This window comes from Homo sapiens, chromosome 5 (assembly GCF_000001405.40).
Source record: "Homo sapiens chromosome 5, GRCh38.p14 Primary Assembly".
Lineage (NCBI taxonomy): Eukaryota > Metazoa > Chordata > Mammalia > Primates > Hominidae > Homo > Homo sapiens.
Genome location: NC_000005.10, coordinates 119,761,944 through 119,785,912, shown reverse-complemented (window position 1 = coordinate 119,785,912; position 23,969 = coordinate 119,761,944). Strand labels below are relative to the sequence as shown.

The 23,969-nt window shown below is 38.1% G+C and overlaps 1 annotated feature.

Annotated features, from left to right (window-relative positions):
* Window positions 5,445–6,036: an enhancer, noted in NCBI's record as "OCT4-NANOG-H3K27ac-H3K4me1 hESC enhancer chr5:119115572-119116163 (GRCh37/hg19 assembly coordinates)". NCBI's record gives its function as "activates a minimal SCP1, AML or CMV promoter by ChIP-STARR-seq in naive H9 embryonic stem cells {active_cell/tissue: H9 hESC(naive)}" and the evidence as "EXISTENCE:reporter gene assay evidence [ECO:0000049][PMID:30033119]".

The following is a 23,969-nucleotide window of genomic DNA, read 5'->3' as shown; positions in this document are numbered from 1 at the left end:
AAATCAAGAAAATAAAAAAGTACATCTTGTATTATCTTTCCATCCAGCTAGGCTCTCTAGAAAAAGGAGGATTTCAGGTTCAACTATAACTTCGTGGATATGGTCTTAGAATTCAATTATCGTAAAGAAAAGATCATCTCTAGAAGATATAAACTAGACTCAAGAGTTCCCGCTTCTAAGAAATTTGTCTAAACTATACCGTAACAACTAAACTTCACGACTTTGAGACCTACCAAGGGTCATCTTCTATGGAGAATTTTCTTTGGGTTTAATTATTATTGGCATTTTATTTTAATTTCTATAATTCATTAAGATACTAATTTTGTCTTAGTTATACTGTTTTTACTGGTCTAGAAAGTCTAGGAAATATTAAAAGATAATTTTTCATATTCCTCCCTGTGTAGGCAGGCCCTAAGACCACTTCAAGTTTTGGTGCCTGACTAGGAAACCTCAGAGGACTCAGCATAGAGTTGTATTCCAAACAAAAGCAAGGTACAAATTTTCAAGGGTCCTTACCCAGTGGAATCATACAGAATACATTTAATTCCTCCAGCACTGAATTGTGACAACACATATAAAATGTTATCTACCAAGGAAGTTCATTAGGGACTCAGTGCCCAAAGTTTTACTGGGAACTGGTTTCACCTTCTGCCTCTGCCAAAATCCCAGACTCTCAGAAGAAGTAAAGCAAGTGCCCAGAGTAAACCATACTGTTTGCACAAACACATTAGGCACAGTAAGCCACTTTCATTAGTTAGAAAAAGTGAACACTCCAAAAATCCAACTTCCTAAACACCAGCCAAGTGCCAACTTTGCAAGAAGGCCCTTCTAAGAATGGCAGATGCAAGACTGCTACGATAATTCTCTTGTGCACATCCCCTTAGAGATAGGATGGCCAAACTTTTGTGTCCAAATCTAGAGCCCTGAAGAAAATCTCAAGCTCCTGGGGGAGTGTAGATTCATAGAAGGGTATTAAGCTAGATTTTCTGTGAGAAGCAACGGATAAAGAAGAACATGACCTGATCCCTTGTGTGGCTTCTCTGAGATGGAAAAAGAAGATAAGAATAGCCTTTTAGCAAGCGGCAGGGACCAATGCTCTCCTCTAACACAGCAGGTTTGAGTGGGGGTAGGCTGTCTGTCAGGGGAGGGTGATATATGTGGATGTCATGGGATCAAAACAGTAAGGGTCAGAACTTTGAAAACCAAATCAAAAGAGCCTTGATTATATGCTTGGCAAAAAAGAGGAGTAGAAGAAATACTTCATTCTATTGTAGGCTTGAAACTTGAAGACTTCAGTGGCAGCCTTGATATCCCGAAGACCCAAGTCCAAGTTTTCAGAACTATATTATTCCTTTGGGATTCTTAAATGACTCCCAGGAACAAGAATCTTCCCCCTTTGTACTGCTGCCAACTCCACCAAAAATTTGAAAATAAAAAATAATTGAATGTGGCATCTAAACAGATTTAACTTTTTATATATTTTTAAAATATTTTACAATGTGTGATTCTCTTTGAATCCCACTGTTGTGGAGCATACCCATTCTTGTTAAACCTTTAATTTCATGGAAATCTTATGAGTAGGTACTGTAAACTTATTTTATTGATGAAAAACCTAAGGCTTAAAAAGATTAAGCAACTTGCTGGAGGTCATAGAACTAGGTATTCACATATTCAGAGTTCACCTCCACTTTTTTCCTACCTTAAAAACTATTCATGTGGCAACTGTACTATACCATACTTTTTAAGCACACACTCTAAGATAATTTAGAAAAACTTAGTATGCCCTCACACATTTTTACAAAGACATCTAAAATTTTTCATTTAAAAAACTGAGTAATTATAAAAGATGTTATGTTCTGTGTATTATAAGTATTGACACTTCACATATATAATTGCATTATTCTTTAAAAACATCCAATATAATCTAAATGCCATAGCAATTTAATAATCACCATCTATTTGAAGAATAAATGAACAACTACATGTTTTTACAATTGGAAGGTTTGCATCATTCTTCTTTATTTTTGACTTGATTTTCCATTCAACATCACCAGCAAATTTTTAGCGAAATGTAAAAATTATATAGTTAAACATCTTTCATGGATCACTCTATCCATCTCTACTATATAAATTTAAGATTCTAAATGTTTTAAAAATACTTCTTGATTATGGTTATTAATTGTTCACATGTCCATTGGTAAATATTACTTATTCCTAGACTGAAACAGAGCTAAACATCAATACTATATCTAGTTTTCATTTGTATAGATACAGGACTGGGAAAATTTGTTCATCTAAATAAATACTATGGATGGGGTAGGATGGTGTTTTGTTATAACCATGTCATACAATTATTTGAATTTTTGAATAATCTGCCAACATCACTTGATTATATTCAACCACACCTTATTCTTAATCCCCTCTCAGTGAACAACTCCTTTGGGTCCTGCTCCAGTGATGTTTAAAGCAATGAACTGGGAACCACCTGACTTGCCAAAGGATTTGGTTCTCAGGCATTACCATTACTCACTTTCTCAACATCAATAGGATGATTTCAAATTGTCCCTTTGTTTGGCAATCTAGTGGTCTTTGCATCCAGGCCAATGCAACATTATAGAATTGCAGTGGGTGAGAGGTTTTCCTTTCTCTAAAGTGAAGGAAAAGGCTATCAAGAAAGGTACAGAAGATCAGAGACTATGCTTTAAGCCTCCCCCTACCCATGTGCCTTGACTACATTTTTACCAGTCTAGCGCAGCTCAACTGAAAGAAAAAATACAAATGAGCATTGAGAAATTGCAACTGAATTGCCTTAAAATAATCTTAGTGTCCAAGTGCCCTCATGGAAATTTTTCACAAACCTCTGGGAATACAAGTACTCTGGTTTGAAGAAATATCCTACCTATATTCTGCCTCTATTCTAGCTCTTAACATATCAATTATGGCTATTAGTCTAATTGTTTTTCCTCCTCCTTGACTGTAAAATACTTCAGGCAGGAGCTGCATCTTCTTTAGCTATGTCTTCCAGTATCTAGCATGGTGTTTGATATATAGTACATGCTAATTAAGTATGTTTCATGAATAAATGACTGCCTCTGCAAAGTAAACAAAATTTAGTTGAATGTCATATATTAGTGAGTTAAAACAGACAAAAACAGTATTTTAGTATGATCCCACTGTGATCAAAAGAAGCATATGCAAATATGTGTACAGCTGTACATAAACATATATATATAAATATATATATATAAATATATATATATATATATATATATATATATATATATATATATATAAAACATATCAGTAGATATTACTAGGTAGATACATTTTTTGGCCACTTTCTTTTTGGCAATCTCATTTATCTACAATCAACTTAAGCATGTTTTATAACACTTCATAAAGTATACAAACAAAGAAATAAGTAGAAGAGACAGGACTTCCATTTAGTGAATATCCCAGAACTGCTGAATGCTGCCCTCAGCTCAAACAAGGGAAGCTCTTGGTTATTAAAGAATATGATGTCCTGCCTTCCTGATTCTCAGATAAGCCACCATGAGCATGACAGGGATCTGGGCAATTCATGCAATGACACCTCACACAAAAATACCCAGAAACTCTGTCACTCTTTTTACCCATGCTCAAAGAATAGTTCTTTTAAAGAATAACTGCCTTATTGGTTTGAAACTGAGGAACTTCATATTTCTCAACTAACAAATCCAGGATCCCTATGTGTAAATTGTCTACAACCATGTGGCTATGAGAAGGAAAACACTTTAAGTTGGAAATGCTCCCATCAGATTGTTCAGGAAGAAAAATCAAGCTATCCCTGCATGCACCATGACCAAACATTGTCAACTTCACATTATTTTGTTCTTTTCAATAAAGTAAATTTGTTAAACCTATCACCAAACATTATTTAATGTTGATGACTTTGTAAGATTTTTTATAGAAATAAATTCACAAATAAAAAATAATGATTCAATTATAGTTACATATATGAAGTATTACTTAATAACAATATTTTTCTCACTTCCAACTATTTCTAAATTTACATTATTTTAGACACTTGGGAAATTAGCAGCCAAATATATTCTAACACAGCTCAGAACTGATTGGATTTTTGTTGCTGCTATTGTTTTAGATTTTCCAATTTAAGCAGATAGAGTCATCCCAAGAAACATGCAAAACTTTAAAAATCTTTTAAACCATTTAAAAACCACAATAATTACATATCTGGGAACATGTCTTTTTTCACCACTGTAGAATCTAAGTTTCTAAAATAAAGAAACTAGGCTATATGGATCCGTCACACTGTAACAACACCATAAAATTGACTAAACAGGAAAATTAACTAAAAATGATAATGCATTATAACTTCCAGGTAAGAGATAATATGACTGCACCTCCTGAATCCCTCAATCCTAATTACTCATAAAGTGAGAAACAGAATTTAAAAATTGGAAAATCAAGCATAAGGAATGGAAGCCACAGAAGGATGACACCTACACGTCAAAAATTTCTGGGCTTTCAACCCATATTTCTATGAGATGTATCACAGATAGGAATATGGAATAAAGGGATAAATAATGTCTTCTCAAATATACTTGTGAAGAAAGACTGAAAAGCCAAGAGAGTGGCAGGAGTATCCCACTACTGCCCCACAATGAGAGAGAAAGCTGGTGAACTGAATGAAGCGACAACACTTGTCAGAAGCTGTGGAAGATTTTCTTGGCTTCAGGACTAATCTGAGAAGGGTGTCTAAACCACATAATCTTCTGGCATATACTTCACTATATGTTCCTAACTACTGGTTGCCACACAAAATATGGAGAGAAACTCTTCTAAAGAAAGAAAAGGATCTTTACTGCAACTATTTCTTACTACATTGACTCCAGTGTCTCATCTCCCTTCATCACACCACCCCTACACACATTTTGGCTTCTGGACTTCTGACCTGGAAAAGTAATGGACAGTTAACATGAAATTTTACCTTTATTTTCCATCAAGGCATTACGTATTCAGAAATGGACAGGGATGTCTTACCAAACTCACTTTATCTGCCAATGTAGACAAAAGTAAACCTCCTTCTGTAAGGATAAGTAAAGAATCTTAGGGGGGAGGAGCCAAGATGGCCGAATAGGAACAGCTCCGGTATACAGCTATACAGCTCCCAGCGTGGGCGACGCAGAAGACGGGTGATTTCTGCATTTCCATATGAGGTACCGGGTTCATCTCACTAGGGAGTGCCAGATAGTGGGTGCAGGACAGTGGGTGCAGCGCACCATGCGCAAGCCAAAGCAGGGTGAAGAACTGCCTCACTCGGGAAGCTCAAGGGGTCAGGGAGTTCCCTTTCCTAGTCAAACAAAGGGGTGACGGTTGTCACCTGGAAAATCAGGCCACTCCCACCCGAATACTGCGCTTTTCCGACGGGCTTAAAAAACGTCGCACCACGAGATTATATCCGGCACCTGGCTCGGAGGGTCCTCCGCCCACGGAGTCTCGCTGATTGCTAGCACAGCAGTCTGAGATCAAACTGCAAGGCAGCAGTGAGGCTGGGGGAGGGGCGCCCGCCATTGCCCAGGCTTGCTTAGGTAAACAAAGCAGCAGGGAAGCTCTAACTGGGTGGAGCCCACCACAGCTCAAGGAGGCCTGCCTGCCTCTGTAGGCTCCACATCTGGGGGCAGGGCACAGACAAATAAAAAGAAAGCAGTAACCTCTGCAGACTTAAATGTCCCTGTCTGACAGCTTTGAAGAGAGCAGTGGTTCTCCCAGTAGCAGCTGGAGATCTGAGAAGGGGCAGACTGCCTCCTCAAGTGGTTGCCTGACCCCTGACCCCCAAGCAGCCTAACTGGGAGGCACCCCCCAAGAGGGGCACACTGACACCTCACACGGCAGGGTACTCCAACAGACCTGCAGCTGAGGGTCCTGTCTGTTAGAAGGAAAACTAACAAACCGAAAGGACATCCACACCAAAAACCCATTTGTACATCACCATCATCAAAGATCAAAAGTAGATAAAACCACAAAGATGGGGAAAAAACAGAACAGAAGAACTGGAAACTCTAAAAAGCAGAGCACCTCTCCTCCTCCAAAGGAACGCAGCTCCTCACCAGTAATGGAACAAAGCTGGACGGAGAATGACTTTGATGAGCTGTGAGAAGAAGGCTTCAGACGATCAAATTACTCTGAGCTACAGGAGGACATTCAAACCAAAGGCAAAGAAGTTGAAAACTTTGAAAAAAATTTAGAAGAATGTATAACTAGAATAACCAATACAGAGAAGTGCTTAAAGGAGCTGATGGAGCTGAAAACCAAGGCTCAAGAACTACGTGAAGAATGCAGAAGCCTCAGGAGCCGATGCGATCAACTGGAAGAAAGGGTATCAGCCATGGAAGATGAAATGAATGAAATGAAGCGAGAAGGGAAGTTTAGAGAAAAAAGAATAAAAAGAAATGAGCAAAGCCTCCAAGAAATATGGGACTATGTGAAAAGACCAAATCTACGTCTGATTGGTGTACCTGAAAGTGATGGGGAGAATGGAACCAAGTTGGAAAACACTCTGCAGGATATTATCCAGGAGAACTTCCCCAATCTAGCAAGGCAGGCCAACGTTCAGATTCAGGAAATACAGAGAACGCCACAAAGATACTGCTTGAGAAGACCAACTCCAAGACACATAATTGTCAGATTCACCAAAGTTGAAATGAAGGAAAAAATGTTAAGGGCAGCCAGAGAGAAAGGTCGGGTTACCTCAAAGGGAAGCCCATCAGACTAACAGCTGATCTCTCGGCAGAAACCCTACAAGCCAGAAGAGAGTGGGGGCCAATATTCAACATTCTTAAAGAAAAGAATTTTCAACCCAGAATTTCATATCCAGCCAAACTAAGCTTCATAAGTGAAGGAGAAATAAAATACTTTACAGACAAGCAAATGCTGAGAGATTTTGTCACCACTAGGCCTGCCCTAAAAGAGCTCCTGAAGGAAGCGCTAAACATGGAAAGGAACAACCGGTACCAGCCGCTGCAAAATCATGCCAAAATGTAAAGACCATCGAGACTAGGAAGAAACTGCATCAACTAACGAGCAAAATCACCAGCTAACATCATAATGACAGGATCAAATTCACACATAACAATATTAACTTTAAATGTAAATGGACTAAATGCTCCAATTAAAAGACACAGACTGGCAAATTGGATAAAGAGTCAAGACCCATCAGTGTGCTGTATTCAGGAAACCCATCTCACGGGCAGAGACGCACATAGGCTCAAAATAAAAGGATGGAGGAAAATCTACCAAGCAAATGGAAAACAAAAAAAGGCAGGAGTTGCAATCCTAGTCTCTGATAAAACAGACTTTAAACCAACAAAGATCAAAAGAGACAAAGAAGGCCATTACATAATGGTAAAGGGACCAATTCAACAAGAAGAGCTAACTATCCTAAATATATATGCACCCAACACAGGAGCACCCAGATTCATAAAGCAAGTCCTGAGTGACCTACAAGGAGACTTAGACTCCCACACATTAATAATGGGAGACTTTAACACCCCACTGTCAACATTAGACAGATCAACGAGACAGAAAGTCAACAAGGATATCCAGGAATTGAACTCACCTCTGCACCAAGCGGACCTAATAGACATCTACAGAACTCACCACCCCAAATCAACAGAATATACATTTTTTTCAGCACCACACCACACCTATTCCAAAATTGACTACATACTTGGAAGTAAAGCTTTCCTCAGCAAATGTAAAAGAACAGAAATTATAACAAACTATCTCTCAGACCACAGTGCAATCAAACTACAACTCAGGATTAAGAATCTCACTCGAAACCACTCAACTACATGGAAACTGAACAGCCTGCTCCTGAATGACTACTGAGTACATAACAAAATGAAGGCAGAAATAAAGATGTTCTTTGAAACCAACGAAAACAAAGACACAACATACCAGAATCTCTGGGATGCATTCAAAGCAGTGTGTAGAGGGAAATTTATAGCACTAAATGCCCACAAGAGAAAGCAGGAAAGATCCAAAATTGACACCCTAACATCACAATTAAAAGAACTAGAAAGGCAAGAGCAAACACATTCAAAAGCTAGCAGAAGGCAAGAAATAACTAAAATCAGAGCAGAACTGAAGGAAATAGAGACACAAAAAACCCTTCAAAAAATTAATGAATCCAGGAGCTGGTTTTTTGAAAGGATCAACAAAATAGATAGACTGTTAGCAAGACTAATAAAGAAAAAAAGAGAAGAATCAAATAGAGGCAATAAAAAAATGATAAAGGGGATATCACCACCGATCCCACAGAAATACAAACTACCATCAGAGAATACTACAAACACCTCTACGCAAATAAACTAGAAAATCTAGAAGAAATGAATAAATTCCTTGACACATACACTCTCCCAAGACTAAACCAGGAAGAAGTTGAATCTCTGAATAGACCAATAACAGGAGCTGAAATTGTGGCAATAATCAATAGCTTACCAACCAAAAAGAGCCCAGGACCACATGGATTCACAGCCAAATTCTACCAGAGGTACAAGGAGGAACTGGTACCATTCCTTCTGAAACTGTTCCAATCAATAGAAAAAGAGGGAATCCTCCCTAACTCATTTTATGAGGCCAGCATCATTCTGATACCAAAGCCGGGCAGAGACACAACCAAAAAAGAGAATTTTAGACCAATATCCTTGATGAACATTGATGCAAAAATCCTCAATAAAATACTGGCAAAATGAATCCAGCAGCACATCAAAAAGGTTATCCACCATGAACAAGTGGGCTTCATCTCTGGGATGCAAGGCTGGTTCAATATACACAAATCAATAAATGTAATCCAGCATATAAACAGAGCCAAAGACAAAAACCACATGATTATCTCAATAGATGCAGAAAAGGCCTTTGACAAAATTCAACAACCATTCATGCTAAAAACTCTCAATAAATTAGGTATTGATGGGACGTATCTCAAAATAATAAGAGCTATCTATGACAAACCCACAGCCAATATCATACTGAATGGGCAAAAACTGGAAGCATTCCCTTTGAAAACTGGCACAAGACAGGGATGCCCTCTCTCACCGCTCCTATTCAACATAGTGTTGGAAGTTCTGGCCAGGGCAATTAGGCAGGAGAAGGAAATAAAGGGTATTCAATTAGGAAAAGAGAAAGTCAAATTGTCCCTGTTTGCAGATGACATGATTGTATATCTAGAAATCCCCATTGTCTCAGCCCAAAATCTCCTTAAGCTGATAAGCAACTTTAGCAAAGTCTCAGGATACAAAATCAATGTACAAAAATCACAAGCATTCTTTTTTTTTTTTTTTTTTGAGATGGAGTCTCGCTCTGTCGCCCAGGCTGGAGTGCAGTGGCGCGGTCTCGGCTCACTGCAAGCTCCGCCTCCCGGGTTCACGCCATTCTCCTGCCTCAGCCTCCCGCGTAGCTGGGACTACAGGCGCCCGCCACCACGCCCGGCTAATTTTTTTGTGTGCTTTTTAGTAGAGACGGGGTTTCACTGTGTTAGCCAGGATGGTCTCGATCTCGTGACCTCGTGATCCACCCGCCTCAGCCTCCCAAAGTGCTGGGATTACAAGCGTGAGCCACCGTGCCCGGCCAAATCACAAGCATTCTTATACACCAACAACAGACAAACAGAGAGCCAAATCATGAGTGAACTCCCATTCACAATTGCTTCAAAGAGAATAAAATACCTAGGAATCCAACTTACAAGGGATGTGAAGGACCTCTTCAAGGAGAACTACAAACCACTGCTCAAGGAAATAAAAGAGGATACAAACAAATGGAAGAACATTCCATGCTCATGGGTAGGAAGAATCAGTATCGTGAAAATGGCCATACTGCCCAAGGTAATTTACAGATTCAATGCCATCCCTATCAAGCTATCAATGCCTTTCTTCACAGAATTGGAAAAAACTACTTTAAAGTTCATATGGAACCAAAAAAGAGCCCACATCACCAAGTCAATCCTAAGCCAAAAGAACAAAGCTGGAGGCATCACACTACCTGACTTCAAACTATACTACAAGGCTACAGTAACCAAAACAGCATGGTACTGGTACCAAAACAGAGATATAGATCAATGGAACAGAACAGAGCCCTCAGAAATCACACCGCATATCTACAACTATCTGATCTTTGACAAACCTGAGAAAAACAAGCAATGGGGAAAGGATTCCCTATTTAATAAATGGTGCTGGGAAAATTGGCTGGCCATATGTAGAAAGCTGAAACTGGATCCCTTCCTTACACCTTATACAAAAATCAATTCAAGATGGATTAAAGACTTACGTGTTAGACCTAAAACCATAAAAACCCTAGAAGAAAACCTAGGCATTACCATTCAGGACATAGGCATGGGCAAGGGCTTCATGTCTAAAACACCAAAAGCAATGGCAACAAAAGACAAAATTGACAAATGGGATCTAATTAAACTAAAGAGCTTCTGCACAGCAAAAGAAACTACCATCAGAGTGAACAGGCAACCTACAAAATGGGAGAAAATTTTTGCAACCTACTCATCTGACAAAGGGCTAATATCCAGAATCTACAATGAACTCATACAAATTTACAAGAAAAAAACAAACAACCCCATCAAAAAGTGGGCGAAGGACATGAACAGACACTTCTCAAAAGAAGACATTTATGCAGCCAAAAAACACATGAAAACATGCTCATCATCACTGGCCATCAGAGAAATGCAAATCAAAACCACAATGAGATACCATCTCACACCAGTTAGAATGGCAATCATTAAAAAGTCAGGAAACAACAGGTGCTGGAGAGGATGTGGAGAAACAGAAACACTTTTACACTGTTGGTGGGACTGTAAACTAGTTCAACCATTGTGGAAGTCAGTGTGGTGATTCCTCAGAGATCTAGAACTAGAAATACCATTTGACCCAGCCATCCCATTACTGGGTATATACCCAAAGGACTATAAATCATGCTGCTATAAAGACACATGCACACGTATGTTTATTGAGGCATTATTCACAATAGCAAAGACTTGGAACCAACCCAAATGTCTAACAATGATAGACTGGATTAAGAAAATGTGGCACATATACACCATGGAATACTATGCAGCCATAAAAAATGATGAGTTCATGTCCTTTGTAGGGACATGGATGAAATTGGAAATCATCATTCTCAGTAAACTATCGCAAGATCAAAAAACCAAACACTGCATATTCTCACTTATAGGTGGGAATTGAACAATGAGATCACATGGACACAGGAAGGGGAACATCACACTCTGGGGACTGTTGTGGGGTGGGGGGAGAGGGGAGGGATAGCATTGGGAGATACACCTAATGCTAGATGACAAGTTAGTGGGTGCAGCACACCAGCATGGCACATGTATACATATGTAACTAACCTGCACAATGTGCACATGTACCCTAAAACTTAAAGTATAATAATAAAAGAAAAAAAAACTTAAAAAAAGAAAAGAACCTTAAAATCACTAAGAATATGATGCAGTTTAAATGAAATTTCACTTGGCACAATCAGAAATAATGATTTCCTGGCTAAGAAATTTAGGAAACTACTAAATTAGTATCAATATTTTTTAAATATTTTAATTTGAGTTTTTGACAGGTATCAAAAGAATATTTTGTCCATGAAACTAGATCAGGTAGTCATAATAAAAATCTACATATATGTGAGGTCATGTAAAACTGCACATAAATGGAAAAATCTAATGGAAAATTTTAAATTGTATGAAAGCAATTTAAGAAAATGAAAGAAAATATAGAACTGGCTATTATAAAATAACCAATTAGTATAGTAGGAGACAAGTTCAAGGTTTTCTTTAAAGATTTAAAGAAAATCATAAGGGAATAAAATGATAAAAGGAAAAATACAGAAAATAATAAAAAGATCAAAGGTTTGTATAATTGGAAGTCCAGAAGAAAAAAAATGTAAACAAATGGGGTGGTAGTAATTACAAAAATAAGAGAAGAAATCTTCTCTGAGTTGATGACAAAATTGGGACAGATGAATGACTTACAATGTTTAAAAAAAGATGAGTAAAAATAATGATATATAAACATGTTCAATATTGTGTTAATTTTAAGAATAAATTTAAAATGTTTCAAATAAAAAATGAAAATGTTAAAAACAACATGCTATATAAAAGAAATAAAAAACAGACTGACCTTGCACTTTTCTTTTAAAAAAAAATCTAGAGAGCTGGCTACAATAAAATAATGTTTATAGTGTAGTAAAGGGAAAGATTGTAACCCACAAACTGTATACCTAAGAGTCAAATTTTTCACTCACGAAATGTGTTTTTTCACCTATGTTTGTGGAAAACGCTCACTTCCCCTTTATGAAAAGTAACTCATAGACTTACTACCCCAAGTTAAGGATAACTCAATATAAAAAATTTCAAAAATAAAAATGTCATAGTACAAGAGAAATAATTACTATTATGAAAATACAGCAATCATTTTGGAAAAAAATCTGTTGAAAATAATCTTTATCTAATATCTAAGAATCAGCCTTGCATCCCAGGGATTAAGCCAACTTGATCATGGTGGATAAGCTTTTCGATGTGCTGCTGGATTTGATTTGCCAGTATTTTATTGAGCGTTTTTGCATTGATGTTTGTCAGGGATATTGGCCTGAAGTTTTCTTTTTTTGTTGTTGTTTTGTCTCTGCCAGATTTTGGTATCAGGATGATGCTGGCCTCATAAAATGAGTTAAGGAGGAGTCCCTCTTTTCCTATTGTTCGGAATAGTTTCAGAAGGAATAGTAGCAGCTCCTCTTCGAACCTCTGGTAGAATTCGGCTGTGAATCCATCTGATCCTGGGCTTTTTTTGGTTGGTAGGCTATTAATTACTCCCTCAATTTCAGAACATGTTATTGGTCTATGCAGGGATTCAACTTCTTCCTGGTTTAGTCTTGGGAGGGTGTATGCGTCCAGGAATTTATCCCTTTCTTCTAGATTTTCTAGTTTATTTGCATAGAGGTGTTTATGGTATTCTCTGATGGTAGTTTGTATTTCTGTGGGATCAGTGGTGATATTCCCCTTATCACTTTTTATTGTGTCTATTGATTCATCTCTCTTTTCTTTTTTATTAGTCTTGCTAGCAGTCTTTTCTGTTAATCTTTTCATAAAACAAACTCCTGGATTCATTGATTTTTTTTAAGGGTTTTTCGTGTCTCTATCACCTTCAATTCTGCTCTGATTTTAGTTTTTTCTTGTCTTCTGATAGCTTTTGAATTTGTTTGCTCTTGCTTCTCTAGTTCTTTTAATTGTGATGTTAGGGTGTCAGTTTTAGATCTTTCCCACTTTCTCACGTGGGCATTTAGTGCTATAAATTTCCCTCTAAACACTGCCTTAGCTGTGTCCCAGAGATTCTGGTACATTGTGTCTTTGTTCTCATTGGTTTCAAAGAACTTACTTATTTCTGCCTTAATTTGTTATTTACCCAGTAGTCATTCAGGAGCAGGTTGTTCAGCTTCCATGTAGTTGTGCAGTTTTGAGTGAGTTTCTTAATCCTGAGTTCTAATTTGATTGCACTGTGGTCTGAGAGACTGTTTGTTGTGATTTCCGTTCTTCTGCATTTGCTGAGGAGTGTTTTACTTCCAATTATGTGGTAAATTTTAGAATAAGTGCAATGTGGTGCTGAGAAAAATATATATTCTGTTGATTTGGGGTAGAGAATTCTGTAGATGTCTATTAGGTCTGCTTGGTCCAGAGCTGAGTTCAAGTCCTGAATATCCTTGTTAATTTCCTCTCTCGTTGATCTGTCTAATATTGACAGTGGGGTGTTAAAGTCTCCCACTATTATTGTGTGGGAGTCTAAGTATCTTTGTAGGTCTCCAAGAACTTGCTTTATGAAACTGGGTGCTCCTGTATTGGGTGCATATATATTTAGGATAGTTAGCTCTTCTTGTTGCATTGATCTCTTTACCATTATGTAATGCCCTTTTTTGTCTTTTTTTATCTTTGTTGGTTTAAAGTCTCTTTTACCAGAGAAGAGGATTGCAACCCCTGCTTTTTTTTTCTTTCCATTTGCTTGGTAAATATTCCTCCATTCCTTTATTTTGAGCCTATATTTGTCTTTGCACTTGAGATGGGTCTCCTGAATACAGCACACTGATGGGTCTGGAATTTTATCAAATTTGCCAGTCCATGTCTTTTAATTGGGACATGTAACCCATTTACAGTTAAAGTTAATATTGTTATGTGTGAATTTGATCCTGTCATTATGATGCTAGCTAGTTATTTTGCACATTATTTGATGCAGTTTCTTCATAGTGTCGATGGTCTTTACATTTTGGTATGTTTTTGCAGTGGCTGGTACCAGTTTTTCCTTTTCATATTTAGTGCTTTTTTCAGGAGCTCTTGTAAGGCAGGCCTGGTGGTGACAAAAATCCCTCAGCATTTGCTTGTCTGCAAAGGATTTTATTTCTCCTTTGCTTATGCAGCTTAGTTTGGCTGGATATGAAATTCTGGTTGAAAATTCTTTTATTTAAGAATGTTGAATATTGGCCCCCACTCTCTTCTGGCTTGTATGGTTTCTGCAGAGAGATCCACTGTTAGTCTGATGGTCTTCCCTTTGTGGGTAACCCGACCTTTCTCTCTGGCTGCCCTTAACATTTTTTCCTTCATTTCAACCTTAGTGAATCTGATGATCACATCTCTTAGGGTTGCTCTTCTCGAGGAGTATCTTTGTGGTGTTCTCTGTATTTCCTGAAGTTGAATGTTGGCCTACCTTGCTAGGTTGGGGAAGTTCTCCTGGATAATATCCTGAAGAGTGTTTTCCAACTTGGTTCCATTATCCCTGTCACTTTCAGGAACACCAATCAAACGTAGATTCGGTCTTTTCACATAGTCCCATATTTCTTGGAGGCTTTGTTCTTTCCTTTTCATTATTTTTCTCTAATCTTGTCTTCAGGCTTTACTTCATTAAGTTGATCTTCAATCTCTGATATCCTTTCTTCCACTTGATTGATTCGGCTATTGATACTTGTGTATGCTTCATGAAGTTCTCGTGCTGTGTTTTTCAGCTCCATCAGGTCATTTATGTCCTTCTTGATACTGGTTATTCTAGTTAGCAGTTCCTGTAACCTTTTGTCAAGGTTCTTAGCTTCCTTGCATTGGATTAGAACATGCTCCTTTAGCTTGGAGGAGTTTGTTATTACCCACCTTCTGAAGCCTACTTCTGTCAATTCGTCAAACTCATTCTCCGTCCAGTTTTGTTCCCTTGCTGGCGAGGAATTGTGATCCTTTGGAGGAGAAGAGGCATTCTGGTTTTCGGAATTTTAGCATTTTTGTTCTGGTTTTTCCTCATCTTTGTGGATTTATCTACCTTTGATCTTTGATATTTTTGACCTTCAGATGGGGTTTTTGCATGGGTGTCCTTTTTGCTGATGTTGATGTTTTTGCTTTCTGTTTGTTAGTTTTCCTTCTAACAGTTAGTTTTCCTCTTCTGCAGGTCTGCTGGAGTTTGCTAGAGGTCCACTCCAGACCCTGTTTGCCTGGGTATCACCAGCAGAGGCTGCAGAACAGCAAAGATTGCTGCCTGCTTCTTCCTCTGGAAGCTTCGTCCCAGAGGGGCACCTGCCAGATGCCAGCTGGAGCTCTCCTGTATGAGGTGTCGACTGACCCCTGCTGGGAGGTGTCTCCAAGTCAGGAGGGACAGGGGCCAGGGCCCCACTTGAGGAAACAGTCTGTCCCTTAGCAGAGCTTGAGCATTGTGCTGGGAGATCAACTGCTCTCTTCAGAGCCAGTCAGCAGGGACCTTTAAGCCTGCTGAAGCTGTGCCTACAGCCGTCCCTTCCCCCAGGTGCTCTGTCCCATGGAGATGGGGGTTTTATCTATAAGCCCCTGAGTGGGGCTGCTGCCTTTCTTTCAGACATGCCCTGCCCAGAGAGGAGGAATCTAGAGAGGCAGTCTGGCTACAGCAGCTTTGCAGAGCTGCAGTGGGATCTGCCCAGTTCGAACTTCCCGGCAGCTTTGTTTACACTGTGAGGGGAAAACCGCCTAGTCAAGCCTCAGTAATGGTGGATGCCCCTCCCACCACCAAGCTCGAGGATACCAGGTAGACTTCAGACTACTATGCTGGCAGCAAGAATTTCAAGCCAGTGGATCTTCACTTAATGGGCTTCCTGGGGGTGGGATCCACTCAGCAAGACCACTTGACTCCCTGGCTTCAGCCCCCTTTCCAGGGGAGTGAACAGTTCTGTCTCGTTGACATTCCAGGCGCCACTGGGGTACGAAAAAAAAACTCCTGCAGTTAGCTTGGTGTCTGCCCAAATAGCTGCCCAGTTTTGTGCTTAAAACCCAGGGCCCTGGTGGTGTAGGTGCCCAGGGGAATCTCCTAGTCTGCGGGTTGCAAAGACCATGGGAAAAGCATAGTATCTGGGCCAGATAACATGATCCCTCATGCACAGTACCTCCTGGCTTCCCTAGGCTAGAGGAGGGAGTTCCCTGACCCCTTGTGCTTCCTGGGTGAGGTGATGACCCACCCTGTTTTGGCTCACCCTCTGTGGACTGCACCCACTGTCTAACCAGTCCCAGTAAGATGAGCCAGGTACCTCAGTTGAAAATGCAGAAATCACCTACCTTCTGTGTTGGTCTTGCTGGGAGCTGCAGGACCAGAGCTGTTTCCATTCGACCATCTTGCTAGCTGCCCAGAGCATCTTTAAAATACTATTGAAATGCTCTTTTACCCTATAACTATAGGTGAAATTACATATGTGTATATTTGTAAATATTTTACATTTTTTGTATACAACCTATGAGCTCTAAGAATAAAATACTGTCTGAATAGCATGATTCATCTTTAAGGAAAAAGAAAAAGATCCCATAATTTTAGTCACACAAGATGGTACATAATAGGATTACGTCGTGCTATGAATCTAGTGAATGCAGTTTAGGATAAATTACAGAATTTCCTTTCTACACAAAGCAATTTTTTCCAAACAGAGCTTTTATTGATGTTCATACTATTATTATTTTTTGTTCATTTCATGGTAAATTCCCAGGTTATCTGAAGCAATAATAAACTAACTTCTCCTTTGATTCTTCTTAAGGCAATTTAAGAAAAAAAAATACAGTCTGGAAAATAAATGGAAAAGAGTGTCCTTCTGACTCTCTGAAGTAGTTTTTGTGTTATTCTTTCCCCTCTTCTCATTTTCCCAATCAAAGTAATGGCACCATCTTTCCACTAACCATCATCTCTTTAACAGCATCTCCTTTATTTCCATGAATGCAGTGAGCAGCAGTTATAGTGAGAATATCAGCAAACAACAGAAACATTATGCCTTTAACCCACCATGACCGAAATGGGGACTTAATGTTAAAATGTAATAAAGCTCAAATTGGAAGGCAGTCTTCTTCATGCCTACAGCCCCTCACCATCTCTGGACCCTGCTGGAATTTAAAACCAGCATCACAACACGGATGGGCCTGATTCTAATGTATGACATGCCAAACCTGTCCAAAGAGACTGAATATATAAGTCATGTGTACACTGCAATTAAAACCATTCCCTGTTGAGCAGGGAAAGAACTGGCTTTTTTTAAAGAGTCCTGTGGACATCCATAGTCCTGTGGACATCCATGGCAGGTGGGGTCCTGTGCCAGAGTCACCTTCTCAATATTGCAGGATCAGAAAGGTCAACTAGAGGGTCCATTGATGCTAGTCAATATATTAAACAGAGCACCTATATATGAACTTATAGCTAGGAACCTAACAGCCTAGTACATGTCTACTGATCAGCACCTTCTTTCTCCAACAAGAACATCTTCATAGGGAAACAATTACTGCAATGAGAATGTTCCTGGTGAACATACAATCAGAGCAAGGGGAACTAGATGGATTGGATACCACTGAGACAGAAGAATCATTAGTCAAATGAAAAAAGCAAAGAATCATTAGTCTACATTTCCATCTCTATTGCAGAGAAGCACCTGCCAAATCAACTAGTGGGTTAGCTCTTTCTGCTGGATCTCAGTTAAAGGAAAATTTAAGCATTTCTTGCCCATCGACCTCACCTATCCAGATTATACAGTTTCATGTCATTTTTTAACTGAATTATAATTTATAAACAATAAACCGCATTTGTCTTAAGTGTACCACTCCGTGAGTTGTGACAATTTTATAAGCCCATGTAATCTTTACTTCAATAAAGAGAATGATTCCATTACTCCAAAATTTCCATATGCTCTTTTGCACTCTATTGCCACTCTCACTCAGAGACAACCACTATTCTGATTTCTATTACTATAGGTTTATTTTGTTGGTCCTTGAACTTAACATATATAAAATCATATTTATGTCCTCTTTCTGTCGGACTTCTTTTAGCTTGACATAATATTTTTGAGAATCATTGGTTTATTGATTTTGTATTTCTTTCCTTTTTACTGCTGAATAACATTCTATATTATGAACAATACTACAATTTGTTTACATATTTGCCTGTTGATGAACAGCTACATTGCTGACAATTTTTGGTTAGTATGAGTAAAGTTGCTATTAATATTCTTGTATAAGTCTTTTGTAGGCATGTAGTTTTGTTTCTCTCTTGAGTAACTCTTAGGATGGAATTGCTGTGTTATAGGGTAGGTATTATATTTAACTTTATAAGCAGCTGTCAAATAGTTTCACAAAAGAGTTGTACAATTTTACATTCCCTCTAGTAGTATATGAGACTTCCAGTAGTTCTACAACTTGCCAATATTTGATATTATCCTCTTTTTTTTTAATTTACTTTAGCCACTCCAATGGGTATATAGTGGTGTCTTATTGTGGCTATATTTTGCATTTCTCTGGTGACCACTGATATAAACTCCCTTTTCATGTGCTTATTAGCCATACTTATCTCTTCTTTTAAGAAATATTGAAGCCTTTTGCTCATTTTTTATTGGGTTAGTTTTCTTTTCATCATTGAGTTGCAGCAATGGTCAGATATACATATTGTAGATATTTTCTCCCAGTCTGTGGTTTGCCTTTCATATTTTACTAATAGTTTTTTATTTCAATAAGAATAAGTATAATGTTTCCATTTCAATAAAGTCTAGTTTATGGCTAGTGCTCTTTTTGCCCTGTGTGTATCCTTTTATTTTTTTTTAACAACCTCATATCACAATACTGCCAGGTCATTAAAATATGATTGTTAATAGTTGCATAGTATTTCACCACAAAAATATATGGATTTGCTTATTTTTGTGGAGATATAAGTTGTTTCCAATTTTTCACAAATATAAATAACACTATTATGAATATTCCTTCACAGATGTCTCTGTTCATCATTGTTTTGAAGAGAATGTTACTATGGGGCATACTGAATCAAAAGGGAAATATTGTGAGACATATTGCTAAATTGATTTTACCAATTTGTACCCCCACCAGCAGAGCAAGTGCTTACTCTCAGTTTTAAGCGTATTTGCACATATTTATTGGCTTCTCACATTTCTTCTTTTATGAATCAACTTTGCCTCTCTTGAACATCTGGAGGGAGATTTATTAGATGTTAATCCTTTGGATTTTTATGCTGCAATTTTTTTCAGATTCATTATTAATATTGTCCAGCAGAATTTTAAGTCTTTGTGTATCCAGGGCTATCAGAATTTTCCTTTATGTTTTCTGCATTATATTCTGTCTTTACAAAAGTATTTCCCAGAACTAAATCAGGTATACTTATGGATATTAGTGCCAGAGTCTCCCACTACTGATGATCAATGGTGTCAACAAAGTAATGTAAAGACAGACAGAGAGATTAGATAGATAGATAGATAGATAGATAGATAGATAGATAAATAGATATAGATAGATAGATAGATAGATAGATAGATAGATAGATAGATAAATAGATAAATGAGAAAAAGAGATATCAGCAGAAAACAATATGTATCCACTGAGACGCTCTCCACTCACTTTACTGGGTAGCTCCGAGACATGCCTTAAGAACTCTCTGGCTTCCCAAATCAATGGGACCATGTTAGGTTCTCCCAGGAATCATCTTCCTGTACTCTCTGTGGATCCCTTGGCTGTACCAGGACTTTAGGGACTTCCGTAGCTCACCCACACCCTATGAATGGTTTGCTCAAGTTGTCTGTTCACTCAGCGAAAAGTGAGCAGAGACACAGAACTCCAGTAACGCTCTCCAATAAAATCTTCTCACTTAGAGTCTCCTTACTTCTCATGTACTCATGATGTGGTTGATGAACTAAAAATCACCAGATCTGTTTTTAGTATCAATTATTTGAAACTCTTCACAGATGATCTACACTCTTTAAAACATATGATCCTTGAATGCTTTTTGTCCTCAGCTTCGGAACCCAAATTATAATTATGAAACTCATGAAAAAAAATAGTATTTAGACTGCTACACCTAAATTAGCTTCTTAATAAAGATTTACCCCTTTCCTAAAGCCCTTGACCACCAATGCGTGAACGAAATGAGAGTCTAATAGCAGAAGGAAGTATGGGAAGGAGGTTGGGTAAGCAGCCAAGGGTGTCTGTCACAGTGACAGTGTGGTGCTTACTACTGCCTTTAAAAGAAAAGTTTCCCATAGTCAGGTTGAGGAATATGGAACTTCTGAGCCAAATTCTTAAGTGTATTTAGTAGCCAAATTCTTAATGATATATAATGTCCATTTTTTTTGTGCAGAGACATAAAAAGAAGTCTCCCATTCTACACATCTTCCTGTCTTTTTTGCCTTCTGCTTTTATTTTTCTTCAAATTCTTTAATACTCCACAGCTTAAGATGTAGGAGAAAAAGCAAAAGGGGAATGGAAAAAGAAGAAGCTTTTGACATCTCCTCAGTGCCTTTGAAACATTCATTTTTATCTATTAGAGATCATAAAAAGCAAGAAGCTAGTGTCTAAGTAGTATAGGCAGGTGTAAAATAACATGTCTCTCTGCTTTTTTCCTCAGCAAGCTGACCTCTACTAATGACACCACCTGGGTTCCCTTACCCTCTGGCTTCCTCATTGGTACTGGCAGGAGATGGAGGGTGGGAAAAGGGAGAGGTCAGGGAATTTACTGCTGCATCCCTCCCTGCTGAGTAGAAGTGTGGCAGTGGCTATATTTTTCTCTCAAGGGTAATTTGTCACTCTGGATCTCCTCTTGCAGCTACAATTCTCCCCATCTTCCAATAACTATCACTTCCTTCATTCCTTTAAGTTCAAGAGGAGCAATAGCTTCCTGCTTCACCATCCTTTGTCAGTTTCTTTAACCCTACCATTACCATTGAAAATTGCCCCTTTATTAAACCTTTTCTCTTTTTTTTCACTTACCCTTTTGAATTTTTCATCTGTTTTCTGATGAATACCTAACTGATACCTCAAGTTACAGGTTAAGAAGGTATGTATCTGAGGTCACAGTGGATAAAAGTTCTGAAACACAAGCCAAAAAATAAATCAAGTCACCAGGAATCTGACTGCCAAGATAAGAACCTGATTCTTCTTACCCAAGATCTGATTAAACAGCAAACCTCTTCTAAGACAAACCGAAGCCAACATTGGTATGGGAGAGAACAACAGTAAATTCTGACAGAAGACACATGTAGAAGAAATTGGTAACAAGATCAGAGATAAATTACAAGAAAAACTGAACTCCATTCATCTACAGACTACCACCTTATTCTTCTTTTCTCCAAGTCTTCCAGTCCCTATCCTCAAACTTTCTCTCATTCTCTAATTTCATCCATTCTTCTCAAGGCTTCAACCATTACCTCCAGGCAGAATATTGCAGTTAAATGTTTTCTCTACCCTAAACATTACTTGGTTATTTCCTGAGCACTCAAAATTAATTTATCCCAAACCTATTATATCTTCACCTTCTCACAGTAATTGACAACTCCCATTGACTTTCTTATTTCTAGCATCAGCTATCTCCCATTCCTCCACGCTCAACACCTCAGGCATTTTTTATTACCTTCTCCTACAATCCTCACACTAAATCTGTCACCAGATCTTCTGGAATCCAGATGTGAATCATTGTTTATATTCTCATGTGGTTTCAGTCTTCCTCTCCAGCCTCAGTTCCCACCTCTTCTCTTCATGGTCTTCATCCTATTCTTGGAATATAATCTAGGATTTGCCTCTCCATTATTTATTCTAATAGAAGAGCATTTTGCTAAGTAATTAGATCTGTTAAAAAAAAATGTAAGGCATAAATGTCAGTGTCACTTCCTTCACAGTCCTTCCTCTCTTTTCTTCCCCCAACCAAATGATCACCTCCCTCTCTGAACCTCTATAATATTTGACTTATACTGCTCTTATAGAACTTATGATGCATTATAATTATGTCGTACTTGATTATACAGCACTTTTTTCTGTGCTAGATTGAAAATTGCTTGAAAGCAGGAAAAGTTCTGTTTGTTTTATACTCTGCAGTACCTATCTTTAATAAATAATTTCTGAATTGGATTCTGTTGCATTGAGTTTTCTGACACACATGTCAAATTGTCTGGCAAAATTATTCCTTAGAAACAAAAATTATCAAAAATCCAAAGTTGTACCTTATTTGTCTTTCTATACCTTGGTATGAAATTTCATTTTTACTATTTAAAAAATAATCAAAGAAAACAAGAATAAATTCACAAACAATGTTTAATTTTGACATGTTAACCAAGTCAATCCCTTGTGACAAGGTTTTTGTCTATAGTTCCAGAGTGACAAGCTTTTGTCTATAGTTCAAGTTAATGGGACTTGGTAACAACATGTTTTTTCTCTCCATGACAAATTAAGTTATTCTGGACAAACATGCAGTATTTTACCAGCAAAATGAAGCCACTTGTGCCTGCATTACAATTTTATTGAATGGCATATAAATAAGCAGAGACTGAAAAACAAATGTTGTCTTGTGAGGATGTTTTCTGTTTTCACAAATACACCCACTCTTGCTAAGAACAAATAATTTGGACCTAAAAGTTTCTCCTCAAAAACTTTGAGAATCCTTTAGTTTGATCAATCCTCCTCATATTTTTCTAATTATTTAAGACCTTTGCATGAAAATATGTTCTTTGCTTTAGCTATTCATTCTCTTAATAACCATTAACCAGGTATTAGCATTATAATTTTCTGAATAGTTTTTTCTTTAGATTCTCCTATAAAGGCACCAATGCCTGGTTTATATTTTCCCTGAAGCCCTTACTCCCTTAAGGACCATTCTTCATCCTGATATTATTTGCAACCGTATGCCATCAGCCCTCTTAATTGCTTTTCAGCTTATTGGCCTATTTCCTCTATTGCCCATTCATCTGTTATCAGTTCCCAAGTTTCTCTGGGAGAGCTTCCCTTCCCCACTCCCTCAGTCCTTGTGGTCTGGATGGGTGGGGCCAATTCCATTCCAAGCTCAAAAATGGACAGAGCAGTCAGGTCATTGCATCCTCTGACTACACTGTTTAGCTCACAAAGGACTAATGAATCAATTTGGACTTACAAATATTAGTCCAGAAACTAATGCAAATTGTTAGAAAAGCAGCTCTCTTTCCATTAGGGTTGGGAAACAAGGCAAATACAGCTCAGAAGCTTCTGAGGAGAGCTCAGCTGAGGATGGAACCAACACAGGAAAACACAATCAAGAGGTGAAGAAAGAGACATTTCTGACACAATTATATGCTTGCCTTTAGAGATGCCTTCTCTGGATTTCAATTATGTAAGCCCATAATTTGTTTTAATTAAGCCAATTTGTAAGTCAGCAGATTTTCTTTTTAATTAAGTCAGTTTGAATTGATTTTCTGTCACTTGCAAATAGAAATATTGGTATCTGGTATGCCACAGAGCACTCCACACTCTTCAATTGCCTTCCTCTCCGATCTAAGGCCAGTGTTAACCTGGCCTCCTCCCCATCTGAAGCTGACAAAATCATGTCTCTTTACATGATCCAATATATAACCTTCATTCACAAACTCAGGAAGCCCATCTGAGCTTTATTCTAATTATCCTCTACTTCTCTCTACAT